The sequence below is a fragment of the Homo sapiens genome, chromosome 3 (genome assembly GCF_000001405.40).
Source record: "Homo sapiens chromosome 3, GRCh38.p14 Primary Assembly".
Taxonomy (NCBI): Eukaryota; Metazoa; Chordata; class Mammalia; order Primates; family Hominidae; genus Homo; species Homo sapiens.
The window spans coordinates 44,299,954-44,323,898 of NC_000003.12; the positions used below are offsets into that span (position 1 = coordinate 44,299,954).

The window sequence follows — 23,945 nt, forward strand, 5'->3', positions numbered from 1 at the left end:
GGGTGGGGGGAGGGGGAAGCAATAGCTTTAGGAGATATACCTAATGCTAAATGATGAGTTAATGGGTGCAGCACACCAGCATGGCACATGTATACATATGTAACTAACCTGCACATTGTGCACATGTACCCTAAAACTTAAAGTATAATAATAATAAAATAAATAAATAAATAAAAAATAAAAAAAAAGAAAATGAGAGCTGGGTGCCATGGCTTACATCTGTAATCCCAGCACTTTGGGAGGCCGAGGTGGGCAGATCACTTGAGGTCAGGAGTTTGAGACCAGCCTGGCCAACATGGTAAAACCCCATCTCTACTAAAAATAACAAAAATTACCCAGGCATGGTGGTACATGCCTGTAGTCCCAGCTACTCAGGAGGCTGAGGCTCCAAGAGAATCACTTGAACCCAGGTTGTAGTGAACTGAGATCGTGCCACTGCACTCCAGCTTGGGCGACAGAGTGAGACGTCTTAAAAAAAAAGAAAGAAAAGAAAATGGGCTAAAGACATAAACATGTTTCACCAATGAGGATATGCAGATGGCAACTAAGCACATGAAAATAAGTTCAACATTGTTAGCCATAAGAGAAATGTAAAATAAAACTATATGAGATATCACCACACACCTATCAGAATAACAGAATTTTTTTTTAAATATTGTTAACACCAAATGCTGGGGAGAGTGTGGATAAACTGGATCATATGCTGTTAGTGAGAATATAAAATGGTACAGCCACTCTGAAAAGCAGTTTGACAGTTTCTCTACAAACTAAACATGCACATCCCAAAGGCAGCTGTTGAACTCCTGGGCATTTATCCTAGAGAAATGAAAACTTTTGGTCACATAAAAACTTACACGTAAATGTTCTTAGCAGCTTTAATTGTAATAACCAGAAACTGGAAAAAAAAAAAAAAACTCAGATACCCTTCAATAGGTGAATGAGTAGTTATAGTTAAACTGTGGTACATACCATGGCATACTATTCAGGAAAAAGAGGGAGAAACTATGAAATGTGCAACAAATTGGATTGATCTCAAGGGAATTGTGTTGAATTTTAAAAGCTAATCTCAAAAGGCTACATGCTACACAGTGCATACATTTCATTTATGTAATATTCCCGAGATAACAAAACTAAGAAATGGAGAACTGATTAGTGGTTGCCAGGGGACAGGGACAGTGGAGAGGGGATGAGTATAAAAGGGTATCATGAGAAAGTTCCTTTGTAGAAATGGAACAGTTGCAGTTACATACACACACACAAATACATGTAAAAATTGATAAAAACTGAATAAGGCCTGTAGTTAACAATATTGTACCAGTGTCAGTTTCCTGGTGGTATATAAGATGTCACTATTGGAAAAAGCTGGGTGAAGAGTGCACAGTGTACTATTTTTGGAAATTCCTGTGAGCTTATTTAAAAGTCAAAAAATTGTGAAGATAAGTATATAACTTATAACTTTTAAAGATAAGTATATATAACTTTTGTTAGGTATTGCCAAATTTTCCTCCAGAATACTTGTACCCATTTGTGTTCCCATCAGAAATATGAGACTGCCTATTTCAGCCTAGCTTTCTAACATAATGTGTTAGAATGTTTTTCAATGTTTGCCAATCTATTAGATGACAAATGGTGTTTTAGTTTGCATTTCTCTCATGAATGAATTTGAGCATTTTCTGTTCGTATATTTGAGGGCTATTTTTACATGTTTTATGTGAACTCTTCACTCTTTTTCCCCTTTTTCTATTAGGTTTTGGTTTTTTGGTTCTTAAACTTTTAGAGTTCTTGATATATTACAGGTATTAGGCCTTTGTAGTATATATTAGTATATATTGCAATTTTTCTTCCAGTTTGTCAGTTGTCTTTTGACCTTCTGGTGTTTTTTACCATGCAAAAAGTTTTATTTTTATGCAACCTTATATTTCAATCTTTTTTCTCAGTTTTGAGTCAAGGTTATGTTTTATTGCATGTGGTTTTGAGTCATCATTTCTCTACATGAAGGTTTTAGGCAAACTGGCACGTTTTCTTTTACTATTTGTATGACTTCATTTTTACAGTTAGGTTTTTAATCTACGTGGAGTTTTTTCTCTTAGGTATGTTATGTGAAATGGATTCAGTTTTATCTTTTCCAAATGATTATACAACTTTTCCAACAACATGTATTAAAATATCCATCTTGGCTGGGCGTGGTGGCTCACACCTGTAATCCCAGCACTTTGGGAGGCCGAGGTGGGCAGATCACGAGGTCAGGAGATAGAGACCATTCTGGCTAACATGGTGAAGCCCCGTCTCTACTAAAAATACAAAAAACTAGCCGGGTGTGGTGGCGGGCACCTGTAGTCCCAGCTTCTCGGGAGGCTGAGGTAGGAGAATGGCGTGAACCCAGAAGGCGGAGCTTGCAGTGAGCCGAGATAGCACCACTGCACTCCAGCCTGGGTGACAGAGCAAGACTCCATCTCAGAAAATAATAATGGTAAAATAAAATGTCCATCTTTACCTCCAGTGATTTGAGATGCCACCTTCATCGTATACTAAATTTCATATACAATGGGGTCTGTTTCTTGACTTTGTATTTTATTCCACTGGACTGTTTGCCTATTCCTGCACTGGAACCACACTATAGTAACTGTAGAAGCTTTAATAGTATGTTTTAATTTTTGGTAGGGATAATTCTTTTTCATAGTTTTTCAGTGTTTTCCTGGATCTTCTTGGATGTACGCTTCTCCATATATTTAGTATCAACTTCCTAACTCCGTGTAGTAGTAATGTGTCTTTCAGGAGTGTTTTATAATTTTCTTTGTATAAGTACTTAATATTTTGGGTGCTATTGTGAATGAGGTTTTCTGTATTATTATGTGGTTTTTTTGTATTTATAAAAGCTATTGTTTTTTGTTTGTGTGTTGATGGATTGAGACAGGATCTTGCTCTGTTTCCCGGGCTGGGGTGCAGTAGTGCAATTACAGCTCACTGCAGCCTGGACCTCCTGGGCTCAGGTGATCCTCCCACCTCAGTCTCCCACGTAGCTGGTACTACAGGTGCATGCCACCACACCCAGCTAATTTTTGCAGAGGTAGGATTCACCATATTAACCAGGCTGGTCTCAAACTCCTGAGCTCAATGGATCTGCCCAACTCGGCCTTCCAGAGTGCTGAAATTTCTGGTGTGAGCCACCTCACACAGGCTGTCTATCTAGTTTAAATATCAGTTATACTTGCTTCATAAAAGGAGTTAGAAAATTGTTTTTTTTTCTTAATCCCAAATGTGACAGTATGTTCTTCCTTCTTAATGCTCTAGATGAATTACCAAAATTGGTGAACTCATAGTTAGGTATTACATAATACTAGTTCAATGACACCTTCTTATTCCAGCTGCCTTTTTTTAAATTTTCTTCTGATTGCCAAAGGGTGTTTCTTTCATTTTTGTCTTTTTTTCTTTTCCAAAAACTATGCATTTCAAAAATTGCCTTCTTTAAATCACAGACTTTTAAGATCCTTCCTTGTGGTTCTGATCTACCCAGATGCTTGCTTGCTTTTTTTTTTTTTTTTTTTTTTAGCATTTTCAAACTTAATGTGGACTTAGTCTTTGCAGCAGTATTTTTAAATCAATGTTAGCTCTTTCTGCTAGTTTCCCTCTTCAATTCTCCCCATCAGGTTTTGTGTGTTTACTTGCTCTGTTTTTGTTTTGGTCTTTGATTGCCACAAATCCTGTGGAGCAGTAAGGGTAGGGTAGGAGCAGTAGAGATCATGTGCCAGGATTTGGTATTTTTTTTCTCCTTTTAGTCACAGTTATTTTTGAAGTTTTGACATCCTCTGTCTACAAGTTAGGCTGAAGGTATGATTTCATGTGGAATTTGCTTTTTCCTTCTTATTGTTTTGGGGAGGAAATAGTATAAAGTAGGTGTCTATATAGCTGCCTTTTTTTCAGCTCTGAAGAATGTTTATAGCATATTATATACATTCATTTTTTCTTCTGGTTTCTTATAAACCATAGGACAGATTAATTAGAAGCAGCAGTGACTTTTAAGGGGTGAATATAGTATAATTAACTCTTTTCTTTTGTTAAAGGTTACAGATGAGACGATTTAAAAAGAACTGGAAGTGTGATTTAGATTCAGCCTTGAATAAATTAGAGGTATGACATTTATTATTTTAAATACATTGCTGGGATCTCTGAAAATCAATAGCAACAAAAAAGGTTTGAATAATAACCCCATTTTATGAAAAGTTTTAGAAATGTGGCTGTTATACAGAGAAAATGCTCAAGGAAAGGAAGTTTTGTTTTTCTTACAAGTTAATATTTTGAAAGGCAAACGTTTTAATTTCTAGAGTTGTGGACTGTACTAAAAATAATTCTAAAAATTGTTCAGTTTCAAAATTATATTAAAGTAAAATAACAATTCGAAGCTTAGTCTTTAAGTTTTGAGACTGGGCAGACTCGCTCAGTGCATAAGAAAGCTGAGGTACTTGTCATGGATGGCTACAGTACATGAAATGGTGGGAGAAAGCCCAGGTCACACTGAACTCTCCAACCATTTAGAGTATAAGAAATGAGGACCTTCAGGATGATTTTTACTTTTAAATTTAATATCATTTTTGTATTCATGTAGTAATTGTTGCTCTGGTTTTAATTAGTACTTTTATATTCTTAAGACAACTTTTTTTCTTGATGTGAACAACTTCTTTAGTTTATAACAGAAATTGTAGAAAGATAATAAGTTGATTGAAATTTACTTTGTGGCCACTTTTGTAGAACGTAGTGTCCAAAACGATATGTGGGCCCAAATTATAAATGGCCAGATAACATTAAAATGTACTTTCTAAAAGTAGTAAAATAATGCATTGCCATGGAGACAGTTCAAATTATGCTGCTCATCATGTTTTCCGTAAAATCCATCTCCACTGTCAGGTTCAGTTTTGGGGGTGAATACAGTTAAATACTTTAAGACCTGGATAATTAAAACAAATGTGCATTGTTATTTGGAATTTATAGAGGCTTTACTATAGCCAGAAAAGCAAAGTTACAATAGTGTGTTGTTGATGTGATACTTGTTGGTAAGCTTATAAGATGTGCAGATTTTGTCTTATTAATTTATGTATATCTAATGCCTAAACATGCTTTGCCCTAAAGACATGTTTGCATAAATGACATAGTTTTCATTCTTTTTCTTTTTTGTTTTGTTTTTAATAATTTTGATAGCATTGTAAAGAAAAAGGTGACTGGACCAAATTGGGAAAATTATACATTAACGTAAAAATGGGCTGTGAAAAATTTGCAGATTTCCAGACATTTTGTGCTTGCATTGCTGAAACACTCACAAAAAACTATGAAGATGAAAGACCAGATATTCCCTTTTGTGAATTTGCTGAAACAGGTAAAATGTAACTATTGGCCTGAATATTGTGTATGAGGATGGTGCAGTTTTCTTTTTTGTTTTTTAGAGACAGGGTCTTCCTTTGTTACCCAGGCTGGAGTACAGGGGTGCGGTCATAGCTCACCGCAGCCTCGAACTCCTGGGCTCAAGCACTTCTCCTGCCTCAGCCTCCCAAGTAGCTGGGACTACAGGCACATATCACTACACTCAGCTAATTTTTTTATTTTTTGTAGACACAGAATCTTGCTTCATTGCCCAGGCTAGTCTCGAACTCTTGTGCTCAAGGGATCCTCCCACCTCAGCCTCTCAAAGCACTGGTATTACAGACATAAGTCACAGCTCGGCCAGTGGCAGTGTTCTTAACAAGAATGTAAAACTAAAAAAAAAATTAAAAAAAGAAAGAATGTAAAACCCTTGAATATTTTCCATGTTGTGGATAAATTAATGCAGGCTTTAGATACTCTTCCTTCTCTTTCTGAATTTTTCCATCTATTTATTGTTAGATTATGGTAAAAGGTCAAGAATTGGTGTTTTAGTATCAAACGTTTCACATTCTTATTTTTCTTTTCACTCAGATTGGTAAAACTATTGCTAACAAATTATAGTGGAGCACCTGAATTTTTGAATTATTTAAGTTGTTACTCTCTTTACTATTACAAGTCAACAGAGTCTATATAGTTTTGAATTTGTTTTGTTTTTGACCTGAGCTCTTTACTACTGTAGCCTTTATCAGGGGTTGGCAAACTTTCTGTAAAAAGCCGGATAGTAAATATTTTAGGCTTCGAACACACCACATGTGATCTCTATCACATAGTTTTATTTTCTTTTTAAACGATGCTTTGAAAACAGGAAAACCATTGTTGGCTCCTAGGCTATACAAAAACGGGGCACAGTTTGCCAACACCTGGTCTTTATGGTAGTATCAATAATTCTGTATTAGTTTGCCTCTTCCATCATTTTAAGTGACTATTTTATTTTCTTTTGTATGCCTATTTGTGTTTCAGTTAGCAAAGATCCACAAAACAGTAAAGTAGATAAAGGTGTACTGGGAAGAATTGGAATCAGTGCTATGTACTTCTATCACAAGCTGTTGCAGTGGTCCAAGGTACTTCATTAAGTTTTTGTCTTGGCTTGGTATAGAGACTACTAGTTTTAAAATTATGAACAGAATATAAGTTAACCCTGCAAATTAGGAGTTTGCTAATAATCATTACAATTGATAAAGTGGGACCCAGACTAGTGAGTGATTTATTAGATGGTATATTAAGCAAATGGCTACTATTCAAAATCTCAAACTGGATGCAGTGGCATGTACCTATAGTCCCAGCTACTCAGGAAGCTGAGTTCGAGGCCAGCCTGGGCAATGTGGACAGATTCCCATCTTTAAAAAATAATTTTTATTATAAAAATAAATAAAATCTCAGTATAGAGAACACTTAACCCATTTATGCCAGAGATTGCAAATGTTTTTTGTGAAAAATCAGACCTTGGTGATGACCTTGAGCAGTAGGATATAAATAACTCCCATAAGTTTAGTGTTCCAATAATGTAACACTAGGTATAAATGGGTTAAGAACCCATGCTAAATGTCATATTTATTTGAAGTAACTTTCAATTCATATTATTTTGCCAACACCTGAGTATCAGTTATATTGTAATTTTAGAAGAGTCCAAGACACATTTCTTTGTTTGTGGGGTTTTTTTGTTTGTTTGTTTTTGTGATGGAGTTTCGCTCTTGTTGCCCAGGCTGGAGTGCAATACTGCAATCTTGGCTCACCACAGCCTCCGCCTCCCAGGTTCAAGCAATTCTCCTGCCTCAGCCTCCCAAGTAGCTGGGATTACAGGCATGTATCACCATGCCTGGCTAATTTTGTATTTTTAGTAGAGACAGGGTTTCTCCATGTTGGTCAGGCTGGTCTCGAACTCCCAGTCTCAGTTGATCCACCCGCCTCAGCCTCCCAAAGTGCTGGGATTACAGGTGTGAGCCACCATACCCAGCCAAGACACATTTCTTAAGATGAACTCAGAATACTCACAATTAACAGAACTTCATAAAAATCACCTCTTAGAATACCTTGGAACACTATATACCATATATCTTGATGTCTAACTTTGAGGCTTAGCTTACCATAGAGATGGTTTAGTGACTCAAGACCATGTTGTATTACCATTCTTCACATATTCCTGAGGTGGCAGGTGGAGTTATAGACTCAAAAAAGTTCAAGTAGAGGACAGGAAATCCAAAATAGGGAGGAAGTGCTGAGGGATGGAGTTTATATAGAGAGTAGAGTAGAGAGTGTGGTCACTATTGAATTAACTATTAAAGTTTATCTTTTGTTACTTGCTGCTTTTATAAAGAGGTTATTTCACAATTGAATATATACGTTCAATAACATTTAAGTACATGGTCACCTGTATACCTACAAAATTCACGAAGTAAAAAGAAAAAAATTTTTAACCTAGAATGGTTGTATAGTAGGTCTCCAGGCTCAAAAGTCTTCAGGAGGCTTAGCTCTTATTGTGTGGTAGGCCTGGAGTAGGCAAGGTGTACCTTGTGTTTGCTCTCACAATTGAGCTTAAGGTTGGTCATAGCATTAATTTCTTGACTATTTAGTGCTTGGGAATTTGAGGACTATCTAACAAGAAGATCCTTTATAAAAATTCAGACTGGGCCAGGAGCAGTGGCTCACACCTGTAATCCCAGTACTTTGGGAGGCTGAGGCGGGGGCATCACTTGAGGTCCGGAGTTCAAGACCAGCCTAGCCAACATGGTGAAACCCCATCTCTACTAAAAAATACAAAAATTAGCAGGGGGTGATGGCGCTAATCGGGAGGCTGAGGCAGGAGAATTGCTTGAACCCGGGAGGCGGAGGTTGCAGTGAGCCGAGATTGCACCACTGCCCTCCAGCCTGGGTGACAGAACAAGACTCCATCTCTTAATGCCATCCCTCCCCCCTCCCCCAACCCCATGACAGGCCCCAGTGTGTGATGTTCCCCACCCTGTGTCCAAGTGTTCTCATTGTTCAATTCCCACCTATGAGTGGGAACATGCGGTGTTTGGTTTTCTATCCTTGCGATAGTTTGCTCAGAATGATGGTTTCCAGCTTCATCTATGTCCCTACAAAGGATATGAACTCATCCTTTTTTATGGCTGCATAGTATTCCATGGTGTATATGTGCCACATTTTTTTAATCCAGTCTATCACTGATGGACATTTGGGTTGATTCCAAGTCTTTGCTATTGTGAATAGTGCCGCAATAAACATACATATGCATGTGTCTTTATAGACTGCATCTCAAATTTAATAAAAGAGAAACTCAGACTGATTTTGCTGAAATTTTAGAGTATATTTTAATTTTATTTGGTTATTATTTGAGACATTGGTAGATTGGTGAATTTTATCTATTTTAATTAAAAATTTTAACTACTTTAGAAAATTATTTTATTACATAGTATGAATTTTTTAATGAAACCTATTCCTTTTTGAATGTAAAAATAAAATCATTGACAGTAAACTAAACATATCCCTTTAAAAATGCACTCTTTTATACAGTCATCTTGAAGGTAGCTTGACATCATAATAAGCATCTAATTCAAATATTATAGAATATAAAACAAGGGTCTGTACACTAAGGCCCATGGTCCAGAACTCACCCAAAGCCTGTTTTTGTACAGCCCTCAAGCTAAGACTTTTTCACATTTTTAAAGAGTTATAAATTTAAAAAACAACAATCAAAAAGAATGTACAACAGACTAAATGTGGCCTGCAAAGCCTAAGCTACTTACTATCTGGCCATTTACAGGAAAAGCTTGCTGGCTCATGGTATAAAATAATGATATATGTCCAATTTCTGATGTCCAAACCAAAGGTAATTTTCATGTAGAATACATGAAATACTTAGTCTACGGAATTAAGAATTTTAGCTAACAAGTTTATCCTTTTTTTCACTATCATTCTTTGTCTAAATTTTTTGGAAGGTAGGGCAGGGGTTTCACCACACTCCCCAGGCTGATCTCAAACTTCTGGGTTCTAGTGATCATCCCATCTCAGCCTCCTCCTGAGTATGTTTAAATTTGATAACAAATTATTTTCATTTTTACTTTCTCTCCCTCCTGGATCCCAGATTGACCAACAGAAGAGGAGCAAAAACATATAATCAGTAGTTTTCTATGCTAAATCATGGAAGCCTTTCATCACATGAAATCTTAAGGAGAAGTACAGTGTATAAAACAAATAAAAAGAAGGCTTCTGATAAAGGGGGTCTGGTGGTATTGGTGGGAAGAGGTGGTTAATATGAGGCAGAGCCTTGCTTGTTCCTCTTTCCCTTTCATCTGTATGGCTGAACAGGAAGGGGCTTAAGGAAAGAGTCTTGGAGCAGCTTAACAGCCAGCAGTCTAGGATGATGATTCAAACTGGATACTTGGCTTGTGAATAATTATCAGTGGCTTTGTGTGTTTGTAAATGATTGATACCCAATTAGTGTTCTTTATTTTTATTCTAGGGAAGGAAGGTCTTAGAGAAACTATATGAATTAAAAATACACTTTACAAGTTTAAAAGGACTTATAGGGCCTGAGAAGTTAGCATCAAGATGTCAAATTGTGAATGTTGCAGCAGAAATTTTTCTAAAAAGTGGAAGCCTAGATGGTGCCATTTGGGTAATGAGGGGTAAGTCCTGATATATGCAAGCATAAAATAATTCGTTATACTTGTCATGCATTTTTGTCTATGTAATTACCTTAAGTTGATATTGAACTGTGGTTAATAGTTTGGTCTAAACCCTAGTGAACATGTGGGTAGGAAAGGTTGTCATGTAAACTGAAAGGGGAAAGTTAACTTAGCCTTAAAGAAGAAATTATATAAGCCTTTGTTCATTTAAAAACTAGTTCTTGTTGGGCCGGGTGTGGTGACTCATGCCTGTAATCCCAGCACTTTGGGAGGCCAAGGCAGCGGATCACCTGAGGTCAGGAGTTTGAGACCAGCCTGACCAACATGACGAAACCCTGTCTCTACTAAAAGTACAAAAATTAGCCAGGCATGGTGGTGGCCGCTTGTAATCCCAACTACTCAGGAGGCTGAGGCAGGAGAATCGCTTGAACCCGGGAGGCGGAGGTTGCAGTGAGCCGAGATCGCGCAATTGCAGTCCAGCCTGGGCAACAGAACGAGACTCCATCTCAGAAAAAAAAAAGCAAAACCTAATTCTTGCTATGGCCTAGGCTCCATATTAATGCTTTCCCTGAATTATCCCAAATAATCTTCATAGAACCCTGAATTTGGAACTATTAAAATCCCCATTTTATTGATAAGAAAATGCTGTCAGAGATATTAACCAACTTGCCCAAAATGACATAATAAGTAAGGAATGGAGGCCAAATTCAAATCCAGACAATCCAGCTTCAGAGCCCAGGCTTCAGCCGCTGTGTAAAATGGAAATCCTGATTGCAGTGTGCGTAAACTCTATCTTCATATGTATGGGCAAACATGACTTCAAACCAAGATGAGTAGAGCTTACTTTCCTTGATAAGGCAATTCTTCTAAGCAGAAATTACAGTGAAATTAAGCCAGCAGGAACAAATAAGGTTAGTTTGGTATGAGAAAAATTAAAAAGAGCACAATAGTGTTACGATACTAATGAAGCTAATGATAGCGCTGGCTATTTGGACCATCAGGCAGATTTTATTTGATAAAGTGGGATAAGAACGAAAAAACCTCAAGGATCTCAGGAGTTTAGGTGGGAAGATGGAATCAATAAATAAAGCAAATTGAGAACTGTAAAACACACTAACACACAAACACTAGCACATATATATATATTCATATACATGTGATTCATATATGGGAAATATATGTATATAAAATATCTTGTATATGTTCAGTGCTGAGGGTTTAATACAGAGGTTGTGAGTAGGCTTCATTCAAAAGCTCGTTTGTAAAGGTATTCTTCAACTTAAACATAGTCAGTGAGGTTTCCTAAGTGGGAAGAGTACCAAAATACAAAAATGGAAATTAATGAAATATAAGCCAGAGCTCACAAGCTCTGTGAAGAAAGAAGCGATGTGTCAAGAAATGGGAAGGTGAAAATAGTTTATAAAAATGAACTTGGGTCACCTTACGATAGGAACCTCCTGTCTGAAAGTTTGTGGCAAAACCAGTCTTTCTCAAACTAGAAACTGGGAGAGTTTGTGGGAGAGATGTGGAGTGATCTTTGGAGATTTTGTTTTAAATTTCAATGTTTCCGTTTTAGACTAACTTTAAACTTCTATCAATTATAAGCAGTATTCTTTTTTTTGCAGTGACAGTTTCAACTAAAAGTAATTTTCATAAGTAAAATTTTATCTCTACAAAAGAAGAGGCCACAGAAGTATGCTCAGTTGTTCCTAGAATTTTTTAATTCTTAAAAGGGCTCTATAGTGAACAGGCCATTCCCAAGAAAGGAAATACAAATGGCTCAATCTCACTGATAATAAGTGAGATTAATACTCACTTGTAATAAGAGAAATATACATTACAATTACAAACACCATTTTGAACCCATTAGACTATCAAAGATCAAAGTTTGGTGATATGCTTTTTGTGAGGGTATAGAGAAATAGACATTCACAGAGGTTGTCTTTAGGAGCTTTTTGGCAAAATAAATGTCAAAAGTTTAAAACACATTTTTTTTTCATTTACTAATTCCATTTCTAAGAATTTGTACTGCACACACATTTATACCTGTATACAAAGGTATGCATATTAAATTATCTGGAATATTTTGTTACACCAACAATGGTAACAAAGAATTCCAGGTAGCTTAAATGCTCATTAAGGGAATACCAGTTGAACTGTGTTATAGCCATATGATAAAGCAGAATGAGGCAGATCTGTAAGTGTTCATTTGGAATGATCTTCAAGACCTATTGCAAAGCCAAAAAAAAAAAAAAAAACACAGGAATGTACAGAGCAGTTGCTACCATCCGAATAAGAATAATAATACAATGGACAAATACGTATTTGCTTATATACCCTTAAAATATGTGTAGAAGAATGCACAAGAAACTAGTAATAGTGGCTGACTCTGCCTCTGGAAGGAGAAATTGAGTGCTTGGAGGACAGAGTAGCAGATTAACTTTTTACATATATTTTTCCTTTTTAAAAATATGCTTTTATTACCTACTGAATTTGCAAAAGATGGAGTTACATACATTACTCAAGTTTGAGAAATGCGGAATATCTCACACATTTTTTTGTTTGGTGAGTGACAGATTTGATGGCGAGAACAAATCTATTGTTTTGGCATTTCACTTTGACATTTCAAACTCTTTCTCATACTAGTGCTTTTTATCCTGCAAATGAGCAACAGATTGCTACCATGCCATCTCCCAAAACCAACATAAAAAAGTCTTGAAATATAAAATGGTTTTAAGACTATCATTTTATAATCCTTGTTCAGAGGCTGAAAAATAAGTATCTTAGTTCTCTATAATCAAATTTTGTAAAAAAGTTATGCCATTTATTGAGAAACTGCCTTTGAATTTTGAAATAACTTATTGCCTTTGTATAAGTAATACATATTAATAAATATGAAAAGCTGGATAAGCAAAACTAATGTTAAAAATCCCATATCATTTGGTCACCCAGAAATTGCTATTATCCACTTTAATGTTGTTATACCGACACTTTTATACTCTGCATTTTTTTCAGGCAGTAGCCTTTCAGTGAAAAATTTTTCTACAGCATCACTTACTAGGCTGCATGGTTTTCTATCTTATAAATAGACAGATGGATAGATCTGTCTTTTGATCCATGAATCCACTTTTACTGAACTAGCTTGTTTTTCAGATTTCAGTTGTAAACGATAATTCCTGCTAAACGTCACCGCTAAATCTTACTTTTCCTTAGGATAAATTCTGATGGAATTGCTGTGTTAAAGGGTAAAGGCATTTTAAAGCTTTTTGGCAAATATCAACAAATTTTCCCTATTCAGATTTGCAGATGTTATTTCAGGTTTATTAGAAAGCTCCCCCGGGCCAGGTGCGGTGGCTCATGCCTGTAATCCCAGCACTTTGGGAGGCCGAGGCGGGCGGATCACGAGGTCAGGAGTTGGAGACCATCCTGGCTAACATAGTGAAACCCCATCTCTACTAAAAATATAAAAAAAAAAAATTAGCCGGGCATGGTGGCGGACACCTGTAGTCCCAGCTACTCTGGAGGCTGAGACAGGAGAATGGCATGAACCCGGGAGGCGGAGCTTGCAGTGAGCCAAGATCACGCCACTGCACTCCAGCCTGGGGCAACAAAGCGAGACTCTGTCTCAAAAAAAAAAAAAAAAAGCCCCCCACTTTATTAGAAAATCTTAGAGAGTTATTTCCTTTAGATATAGCTTCTATACAAACATGTCCTTTTAGGTATCACAGGTGCAGATGTTAGTTAACAATTCCAGATGTTAGTGCCTGATACTATGTTTTTTGGTTATCAGACAGGCAGACTGGTACATTCCAGGTTATGCAAACCCTAATCTAGCTATTCAGTACATTCCATTCCAGGTCTTTTCTCTGTGAGGAGACTATAAAAGTCCTCTACACCTTCAGTTAGATTGTAGTAATTACAGTCTACTTAACAGTGTATGAAGATGCAGCTTATGAAATACCCTTGCCAACAATTAGTATTATTATTTTTCTTATCTCTCTGCTAGTTTGATAGGGCAAAAGTTATTCACAGCTTTACTTTGCATTTTTATATTATTTATTTTTTTTGAGACGGAGTCTCACTCTGTCACCCACGCCTGGCTAATATTTTGTATTTTTAGTAGAGATAGGGTTTCACCGTGTTAGCTAGGATGGTCTCAATCTCCTGACCTCGTGATCTGCCCACCTCGGCCTCCCAAAGTGCTGGGATTACAGGCCTGAGCCACTGCACCCGGCCAACTTTGCATTTAATTATTAAAGAAATTTTTTCCCCATCTGGACCTTACTTTTTTGTGAATTGCCTGTTTATGTTCTTGGTCTGTTTTCTGAATTTAGCATTTCTCTTCATTATTGGTTTCATAATAATGTGAGTATTCACTATCTACCAAGCATTGTGCTAAGTGTATTATTTGTGTCATCTCATCTAATCAATACTAACCCCATAACGTAGGTAATAGTATCCCAATATGAGGACGCTGAGGTTCAGAGAAGATCACACAACAAATAAGTGTAAAGCAGGAATTCCAATCCAGGTCTATCTGACTGCAAAGTCTGTATTTTTAACTACTACACCAGTACTATTGTTTTCCTAGTTTTTCCTCTAAATAGACTTCATAAAATTGCAACTAGATCAGAAGCACAAACTACACAAACAGATCCAAACCTAAGATAGTCAGCCTCCTGAGCAAAATGGTGGTATTGAGCTTGTTTTTGGTAAATCTAAGACAGGGGTTCTCAACCTTGATTATCAGAATTCTCTAGAGGGCTTGTTAAAACACATATTGCTGGACCCACCCCCAGATTTTCTGATTCATTAAGTCTGGGGTGGGTCCTAAAAATTTGCATGTCTGTCAGGTTTTTAGATGTTGTTGATTCTGCCGATCTGGGGACCTCACTTTGAAGACCACTGCCCTACATCACTCTCACATAGTGACGTTTTCTCATACCTTACCTGTGTTCCTAAACCATACCCCCTCAAGTCGCTCCCCCACTGCGTTCTTTAACCACTGCTATAAATACTACCATTTTTATTTCTTTGAAAGTTAATTACATTTAGAGTATTTCACCTGTGGTGGTACCTGGCACAGAGTAAATATTTAGTAAATATTAGTTGAGGTGGATGGATGGATGGATGGATGGATGGATGGATGTTCTTCATTTATGTATCTTTATACCTTCCAAAGAGGAAATGGTTGCAGGTTTTGAAAGAACGTGTGTGTGTGTGTGTGTGTGTGTGTGTTTATACTATGAAATTTAGCATAAAGTTTAGCTCACACATGTGGACCAGCGCCTGTGACTACAGTACGAATATAAGCATATAAACAATGTTAATATTTAAGAAAAATCATTTCAGAAAAAACGTGTTGTCTTCATTTTCTTTCTCTTTTTTTTTTCTGAGATGGAATCTTGCTCTGTTGCCCAGGCTGGAGTGCAATGGCATGATCTCAGCTCACTGTAAACCTTTGCCTCCTGGGTTCAAGCAATTCTTCTGCCTCAGCCTCCCAAGTAGCTGGGATTACAGGTGTGCACCACCACGTCTGGCTATTTTTTTTTTTTTTTTTTTAGTAGGACAGGGTTTCTCCATGTTGGTCAGGCTGGTCTCAAACTGCTGGCCTCAGGTGATCCGCCCACCTTGGCCTCCCAAAGTGCTGGGATTACAGGCGTGAGCCACCATGCCCGGCATCTTCATTTTCAATCAGTGGCTGGATCTTCCCAGCACAAAGCTGTGTTAGCCCAGGCCATCTTTAGTCTTTGATTGAATACCACAGTTCCATTTATATCTACTCATCAAGACCTACTACTTAGGTCATTAACACCTCTTTCTCAAATAATTTTCACCAAATGTGAACCCTGGTTATTTGCAGTCATGGGATTTTTAATTATTTCTAAAATACTTCTTTGTACTTTTCTGTTTTGCTTGAGTTTTTATAGTAAACATTTATATTTTAAAAATAAACATTTAAGGCCAGGCACAGTGACTCATGCCTGTAATCCCAGCACTTTGGGAGGCCGAGGCAGTTGGATCATTTGAGCTCAGGAGTTTGAGACCAGCCTGGGCAACGTAGGGAGACTCTGTCTCTATGAAATTTAAAAAAAAAAAAATTTAATTAGCCAGGCATGGTAGCACACGCCTGTAGTCTCAGCTACTCAGGAGGCTGAGGTGGGAGGATTGCTTGAGCCCCAGAGGTCGAGTCTGCATTGAGCAGTGATCATGCCACTTCACTCCAGCCTGGGCAACACAGTGAGACCCTGTCTCAAAAAAAATAAATAAAGTAAACTTTTTTTAAAGTAAATCAAGCAACTTAGCCTCATCCAAATATTTGTGAAATCACAGATTTACTGTGATTTTTGTATTTAATGTGATCTTTATAATTTTTTAAAATACAATTATTAAAATTCTAATGTAACACCTAAAATTTTCAGGTACCATCAGTGATGTGTATATCACACTTAGGAAATATCACACTGTATAATAATGTCCTTTTTATATTGCAGTAGTTTTACATATTAAAGATACTAGTCCTTGATCTGTTGGGTATTTACAAATATTTTTCCTAGCTTTTCATTTTTCTTTAACTTTATGATGTTTTTTGCATTTTTTGTTTTCTTTTGCCTACTGACATTTTTTCTACTTAATATAAACTGCTGCTTTTTAAATATTTAATAATTTTTGTTTTGTATCATGCTTTTAGGCAGTCCTTAGTCATCTCAAAGTTACGTATTCATCCATATGTTCTTCAATTTTTTCATTTGTTGTTAGTTTTAAATTTTGGTATTAGATGGGAAGTTAATTTTATTTATTTCCCCAAAATGTTTTCCCATTTCATCCTTTACTCACTTACTTGAAATGCCATTTTTATCATATATTAGAATCTTGAATCTGTTGGGTCTGTTTCTGCACCTTTCTCCCAAGCATCTCTGTGTTTCTATGCTAGCACGATGCTCTTTTTATTTAATATAATCTTAGAATATGTGATATTTGTCTATCCTCTCTCCACTTGTCTCCATTTGTCTATCCACTCTCACTCCTCTTCTAAATTATTCTTTGCTATGCTTGTTTATTCTTTGAATGAATTTCAGAATTACTAAATCAGGTTTTAATACAGTTCTGTAGGAAATTTGATTGGGATTATATCAAATGTATACCTTGGCTGGGCTTGGTGGCTCACGCCTGTAATCCCAGCACTTTGGGAGGCCGAGGCCGGTGGATCACTTGAGGTCAGGAGTTCGAGACCAGCCTGGCCAATGTGGTGAAACCCTGTCGCTAAGAAAAATACAAAAATTAGCCTAGCATTGTGGCAGGCTCTGGTAATCCCAGCTACTCAGGAGGCTGAGGCACAAGAATCATTTAAACCCGGGAAGCAGAGGTTGCAGTGAGCCAAGATCGCGGCACTGCACTTCAGCCTGGGCAAGAGAGCAAGACTCGGTCTCAAAAAAATAAATAAAAATAAATGTATACCTTAGGGGAAAAATAGGTATCTTTAGATACTCCCCCATTTTAGTATTTACTGTTGGAAAAGATAATTATTTGTTTGATAGTCTCACTGACTAGCTTGGAAATTCATTTAATAGTTTTATGTTCCCAGTGTGTATATTCAAAATCTTGTGTGAGTAATGACTGAATGTGCATATGTCAGAAGGTAAGTGGATAAAAACAGGCTATTATGGAAAATATGCTCTCCCTTTGATTCTGAGATTTTAGACAAATAGAAAATATTTCCCAAATATGAAATAGAGAAAAACATGAAGATGAATGCTATAACAACTTTTACTGCTATAAAACTAGTATTAAGCCCACTAGTAAACTGTTTCTTATTCTTGGGAATTTAATTCTCATGAGTTCTCATAAAATATTCATAAAAGTATTTATGTTGGTAGAATTGTGAACTAGCTAGATTAAATTTAAAGCTATTAATTTCTAAGTGACTTCTCATTTATCAGTTTCAGTCGACTTTGATACATAGAATAATTAGCTTACTCAGATTTTTTTTCTTCTTAAAAACAGAGGTTTGATTGTGTTTGGTCCACAGTCAGTATTTCACATTATTTCATGGTGCAGGGCCCCTGGGTGGGAATCCCTGTGCAGTACTTGACAGGGCCTGTGGCCCGGGGTGATGAAGCAGTATGGCTGGTCAGGCCAGGAAGGGGAGAAGGGCTGGGGGCTCCACCTACTGAGGGGCGGGCATGGTGGCTCACGCCTGTAATCCCAGCACTTTGGGAGGCCGAAGTGGGTGGATTGATCACCTGAGGTCAGGAGTTCGAGACCATCCTGGCCAACGTGGTGAAACCCTGTCTCTACTAAAAATACAAAAATTAGCTGGGCGTGGTGGCAGGCACGTGTAGTCCCAGCTACTAAGGAGGCTGAGGCAGGAGAATCACTTGAACCCGGGAGGCGGAGGTTGCAGTGAACCAGGACTGTGCCACTGCACTCCAGCCCGGGTGACAGACTGAGACTCCATCTCAAAAAAACAAAACAAAACCCTACTGAGGGCCACGGTGGGGGGTGGGGGAGTGGGGCGGGGGAGGGTTTGCATAGAGAGGGGGTCAGGCTTAGTCCCAACAACTCAGAATTCGACTTGCCTTGTACGGGCCTCAGTTTCACCACCAGGCCCCAGGGCAGGTCTGAGGATCTGAGGTCTGTTATTCTGAGGGTCCTAGGGAAATCCAGCCATTCAGAAGCCTGAGATATTTCAGCATCATGGCCAGGCCCCCTCTCCCAGGGGACTCATTTCCCAGCACCATCTCCATTATCCCTGCCCCATTCCTCGGAAAAAAAAAATATATATATGTATTTTATATATATAATATGTATATTTTATTTATATATAATATATATTTTATATAATTATATTAAATGTATACCTTTATATATAAAAATATATATATATAGTTTTCTTTTGTTAATGCTTCCTGAAGCCTTTGCGGGCACAGAAACCACAAACTGATCGGCTGACAAAAGTAGGAAGAGGAGAGGCAACCGGAAACCTTTGGGGAGCAGTTCCCCTCCATGCCCAGGTCTGTTCTCCCCAGCACAGCTCGGCCCACAACCTGGATGTGCCACCAGGGACCATTACCCTACACGTATTGGGATATAGCTTGACCCCTTCCCCCACGGCCAGGTGGCTCAATCCTGCAAAGGAACCAAGGCAAGGCGGGGAAGAACCCTGCTGCCTGATCCCATGCTGCCCCTCACAGACCGTTGGTTGATTGGCAACACTGAACAGGTTTTTAAAAAAGATGGCAACACAGAAAAAAACAAAAACCCAGACAGGGAGATGATGTGGGGAGAGAGCATGCTAGGTCAGATTTTTTTATATACCTAAACAGTTTGATAAAAATTTTAAATGAATCTCCTAAAATACCATATATACTTTCCAAAAAATGTGACCATTACCCTACCTTAAATATAAAGAATAAGTATTAAAGAAAAATGATGCAATTTTTATGAGAAAAGGTTTATATAATCTACTTTTTGTACATGGGATATATCTAACAGATAAAAAATAATTGAACTTATTCAATCAAAGTAAAATTCACTTTATAAGGAATGGTGAACGAACAGTTTTACTTTTAATGGGAATTATGTTTAACAGATGATCATACAGTCTTTGAAGATATTAAATTCATTTACATTTCTCTCTATATTAAAATGTCAGCAAATGTAGAAGCAAATTAATGAAAGTATCTGTCTAAATGAGTTAATATTCTTAAAGCACTTAGAACATTCCTAACACATAGTATAACTCTGTTAGGTCAATCAGTCAATCACATGGGCTCTAGTAATTGAAAAGCTCCTTTTTAAAGCTTTATACTGGATACTAAAAGCTTTCTTTTGTCATGATATATTTGAATTATCAACTTTTTCTTCAATACTTTTTATATTCACTGTGCTAGGAAGGCCACAAAATAAAAGGATTACTTCTACATTTAGTTCAGTTGAAAAAGAGCACCAAAATATGATTTGAATGTTACATATAGTAATGTTTCACTATGTGTATAATGATTGAGTAAATTAGGTAAATGATAAAATATTGACATTTCTAACATTTTAGTACCTCAGTGTTCTGTACTACAGTCTCCCATTGTTTTTCTCAATGTGAAAATCAGAGCAGAAATTAAGGAACTTCAGCATTATAGGTAATATTCTCTTTTTTTAAAGAGGGTCTGAGGTCTGTTGGTTTGAGGGTCGTAGGTGGGTGTGATGGGTACACAGGAGTTAATTTTATTATTATGCTTTTATAACATATATTATTCTTCTGTATACAACAACGATTTCATAATAGAAATTGTTTTTAAAATAGAAAGTGTTAAGAAAAGCTATTCGCTGGTCGGGCGCAGTGGCTCATGCCTGTAATCCCAGCACTTTGGGAGGCCAAGGTGGGCCAATCACAAGGTCAAGAGATCGAGACTGTCCTGGCTGACACAGCGAAACTCCGTCTCTACTTAACATACAAAAAATTTAGCCAGGTGTGGTGGCACGCGCCTGTAGTCCCAGCTACTCAGGAGGCTGAGGCAGGAGAATCACTTGAACCCGGGAGGCGGAGGTTGCAGTGAGCCAAGATTGCGCCACTGCACTGCACTCCAGCCTGGGTGACAGAGTGAGACTCCATCTCAAAAAAAGAAAAGAAAAGAAAAGCTATTCCCCAGTAATACCAAAAACTAATTAAATTATTTATTGTGAAATTGTTAAACTTGTCCACATAAATAATATTTTATGTTAAAGCAAATATTTGTGATAATCTGAACTTTTTTATATAAAAATAAACATTTAAAATTAGTAATTGACTAGTACACTTAGATGAAGAATTAATTAAAAATAAATATAACAAAGTGGCCATTTGTTTGCATCTTCTTCAGATGATGATCATCACTATATAAGTTATTTCTAATAAATTTGAGCCATGGTTATCTTCTCTGAGTACATATGTTTAAGTTTTGCCTGTTTCTTCAAAAGATATATTGAAACATTAGTTGTGATTATACTGTTAAGTGTCATTTTCATGGTATAAACTATTCATATTTTTTTCTTTTTGGAAGAGTCAGAGTGGATAATCAATACGCCTCTGTGGCCTTGTGATAGACTGGATGTGCTTAATCGACATAATTTACTCTGTACAATTGCACATGAAATCTTAGCCAAGAGCCTTTATAGACAGACATTTGAAGTTTTGCAGAATCTACCAGGTTTTCAAAATTCCCAAGGTATGTTTTTTAAAAGTCTATCTTAATTATCTCTTGCCCATCTGGTGTTTAACTGTTAATAAGAAATAGTTATCCACCTGTTTTGATTGAGTTTTATATTCCAGCATATTTTTTAATGAAGTAGTTTTCTGTAAAATATGTTCTCTGCAAATTGAATATACTTTCCTGATGGTTTAAAAAAATCTGAGATGCTTATCTTTGGGTTGTTTGTCAGCAGTTCCTAAGACAAGCATTTTTATCATTCCCTTTTCCCTACTTCTGTCAAGTCATCAGCAAACAATATGTTTAAATGCCCTGAGCAAGCTTTTTCTCTTATCACTGAATAAATACAGAACTTAGTTTACATTACCTAGGAACACAGGTAAACTTGAAAGAAATGGAGGAAGTGAAACAGATGCCAAGTTCAAACGCCAATGTGGGAAATGGTAGTCAGTACTCTTGAATGTTGGGTGTCCATGAGCAAAAGCTTTGGGTCAAGAATGAGCTATGTGATAGGTTCAGAGGATGACGAAAACGTTAACCTGAGGGCCTCCCCTCAGTACTTTCATCGTACTATCTATAAATTTTCATTTTTCCACTTAATTCCACTGTGCTCCTGTATTGTAATGAGCATTCTTATCTGTTTCTCCTTATACAAAGTGAGCTCAATCAGGATGGTACTATTTTCTTTACCTTGGTATTCCTGGCCCAATGGCTGCTATCTAGCAATCTCTTAATATACAATTAGTTGGTAATGAAACAAAGTAGTAATAGGGAGATTGGACAGATAGTTGTGCCAGATTTTGGAAGACCCTAAATGTCAGGCTAAAGGAATTTTCTTCTCTGTGTATAAAAAGGGATCACTAGAGTTTTGGGTCTAGGGAGTGATATAATGAAATTGGTGTTTCAGGAAAGTTCCTCTGGCAGTAGTGTTTAGGAAAAGACTAAAAGTAGAGAGATTAATTTCCTGATAAGTCCTGGATAACTAAAAGATTCTAAAGCAGTAAGGAACTACAGTCTAGCTCACAGACCCAACTGACTGAATATAGGGAATAAAAGAGAAGTCTCTAAGATGACTTCTCTTTCTTCTAAGAATAACTGAAGGAATAGAAAATCCATTAAAGGATTGTTTTAAATTTGGCAGTAAATATTTATTAGGGGATGATTTGTTTTTAGTCAAGGGATATATAAGGCTAAGGTCTGAACTGTAGATATAATACAAACAGAATTGAGAAATTATTCAAGACACTACAGATACACAGTTACATGTGGGAATCAAATACAGAGGTCTTAATGCATCCTCTGAAATTTTTGTCAAGCTTCTTTTTATCTTCTCTATTGCAAAGGAAGTTAATGGTTTTTCTTTTGTCAAATGCTTTTTCGTTTCTGACTTAGAGAATATGTAAGATAGGTTGGGCGCGGTGGCTCATGCCTGTAATCCCAGCACTTTGGGAGGCTGAGGCAGGCAGTTCACTTGAGCCCAGGAATTTGAGATCAGACGATATGGGCGTGTTCAGGGTGGTATGGCCATAGATGAGCCCAGGAATTCGAAACTAGTCTGGGCAACATGGTGAAACCCTGCCTCTGCAAAAAAACATAAAAATTAGCCAGGCCTGGTGGACCTGTAGTCCAAGCTACTTAGGAGGCTGAGGCGAGAGGATGACTTGAGCCCAGGAGGTGAAGGTTGCAGTGAGCCAAGATCATGCCACTGCACTCCAGCCTGGCTGACAGAGTGAGACCCTGTCTCAAAAAAGGAGAAGAAAAATAAAGAGAATATATAAAATGATTGCATTTTAGTGACTGTGAGTCCTATAATGGGTAAGAAAGGGTGAAGGGGAGGAGAAAGAAAAAGGAGTATGAGATGGAGGTTTGAGACACTTTAATATAAATGAATTTTATTATATCATTTTTTTTATTCCAGAAACTGTGGAAGTCTCACAATATAGCCTTCTTTTTAATAAGCTTCTAGGTTCCTGTATAGAAAGCAGTAGTCTTGGTATGTCATCCTCTGTGGCAGAATTCATGATTTCAAAGAGCATCCCTATTGATTTTTCCTTTCTCAGAAGATTAATTACTTCTTTAGGAAGGAGTCGTTTATGGCTCAAAGCCAGAGCCCACTACAAAAGTAAGTTACATTTAAAATGTTTTAATATATTGGTTTATAATTGTATTCTCTAACCCAGAATTTATAATATATAAGATTAGATATTTATATGTATTAAAAGAGCAGTAATACATATTCAAATGTAGTGGTCTCAACAGATCTGTGCTCTCTTTTGAAACCTATTGTTTCTCTTCTGTTTCCAGTTGCTTTCCTTATTTCCAATGTTTGCAATTTCCAATCTTTATTTCTTGCACAGTAGCCTGTCCGCTAGAGGGCGAGCAAAGGGAACAAATGACAGGATAGAACCAGTTTGGCATATCTTATAAATAATGCAAGCATAAAACAAGTGGGTAGAATGAAGTTTAAAGAAGATCTGTTTTTATTTATCTCTGCTATATCCCTAATTGTTATAACTAAAAATATTCAATAGCAGGTCACATCAGAAGCATAAAGGCTGTCATAACAATGCAACATAGTATATGTTTTTCACATGGCTTTTAGTAATAGAACTTTGTTAATCTACTTACAGCTGTTGTTCTCTAACAAATAAGCCTGGAAAACTAGTGCTTTCTCTAGTCCAAGCCACCTCGCAGGTATTTTAATTAGAAAGTAATTCCATGTACG

At 37.0% G+C, this 23,945-nt stretch overlaps 1 protein-coding gene across 4 annotated transcripts in view; it reads left to right on the forward strand.

Moving 5' to 3' along the window:
* Positions 1–23,945, forward strand: part of TOPAZ1 (testis and ovary specific TOPAZ 1) — a 94,804-nt gene that overhangs the window by 58,068 nt on the left and 12,791 nt on the right. For 2 of the 4 annotated variants that reach the window (XM_011533694.3, NM_001145030.2), the window contains exons 13-18: positions 4,062–4,128; positions 5,194–5,368; positions 6,373–6,473; positions 9,872–10,037; positions 21,074–21,238; positions 23,139–23,342. In XM_011533694.3, coding sequence (XP_011531996.1) covers positions 4,062–4,128; positions 5,194–5,368; positions 6,373–6,473; positions 9,872–10,037; positions 21,074–21,238; positions 23,139–23,342 — 878 coding nt within the window. Of the gene's footprint in view, positions 1–4,061; positions 4,129–5,193; positions 5,369–6,372; positions 6,474–9,871; positions 10,038–21,073; positions 21,239–23,138; positions 23,343–23,945 lie in introns of those variants that run through there. The other 2 variants (XM_017006361.2, XM_017006362.1) reach the window with 2 other exon arrangements.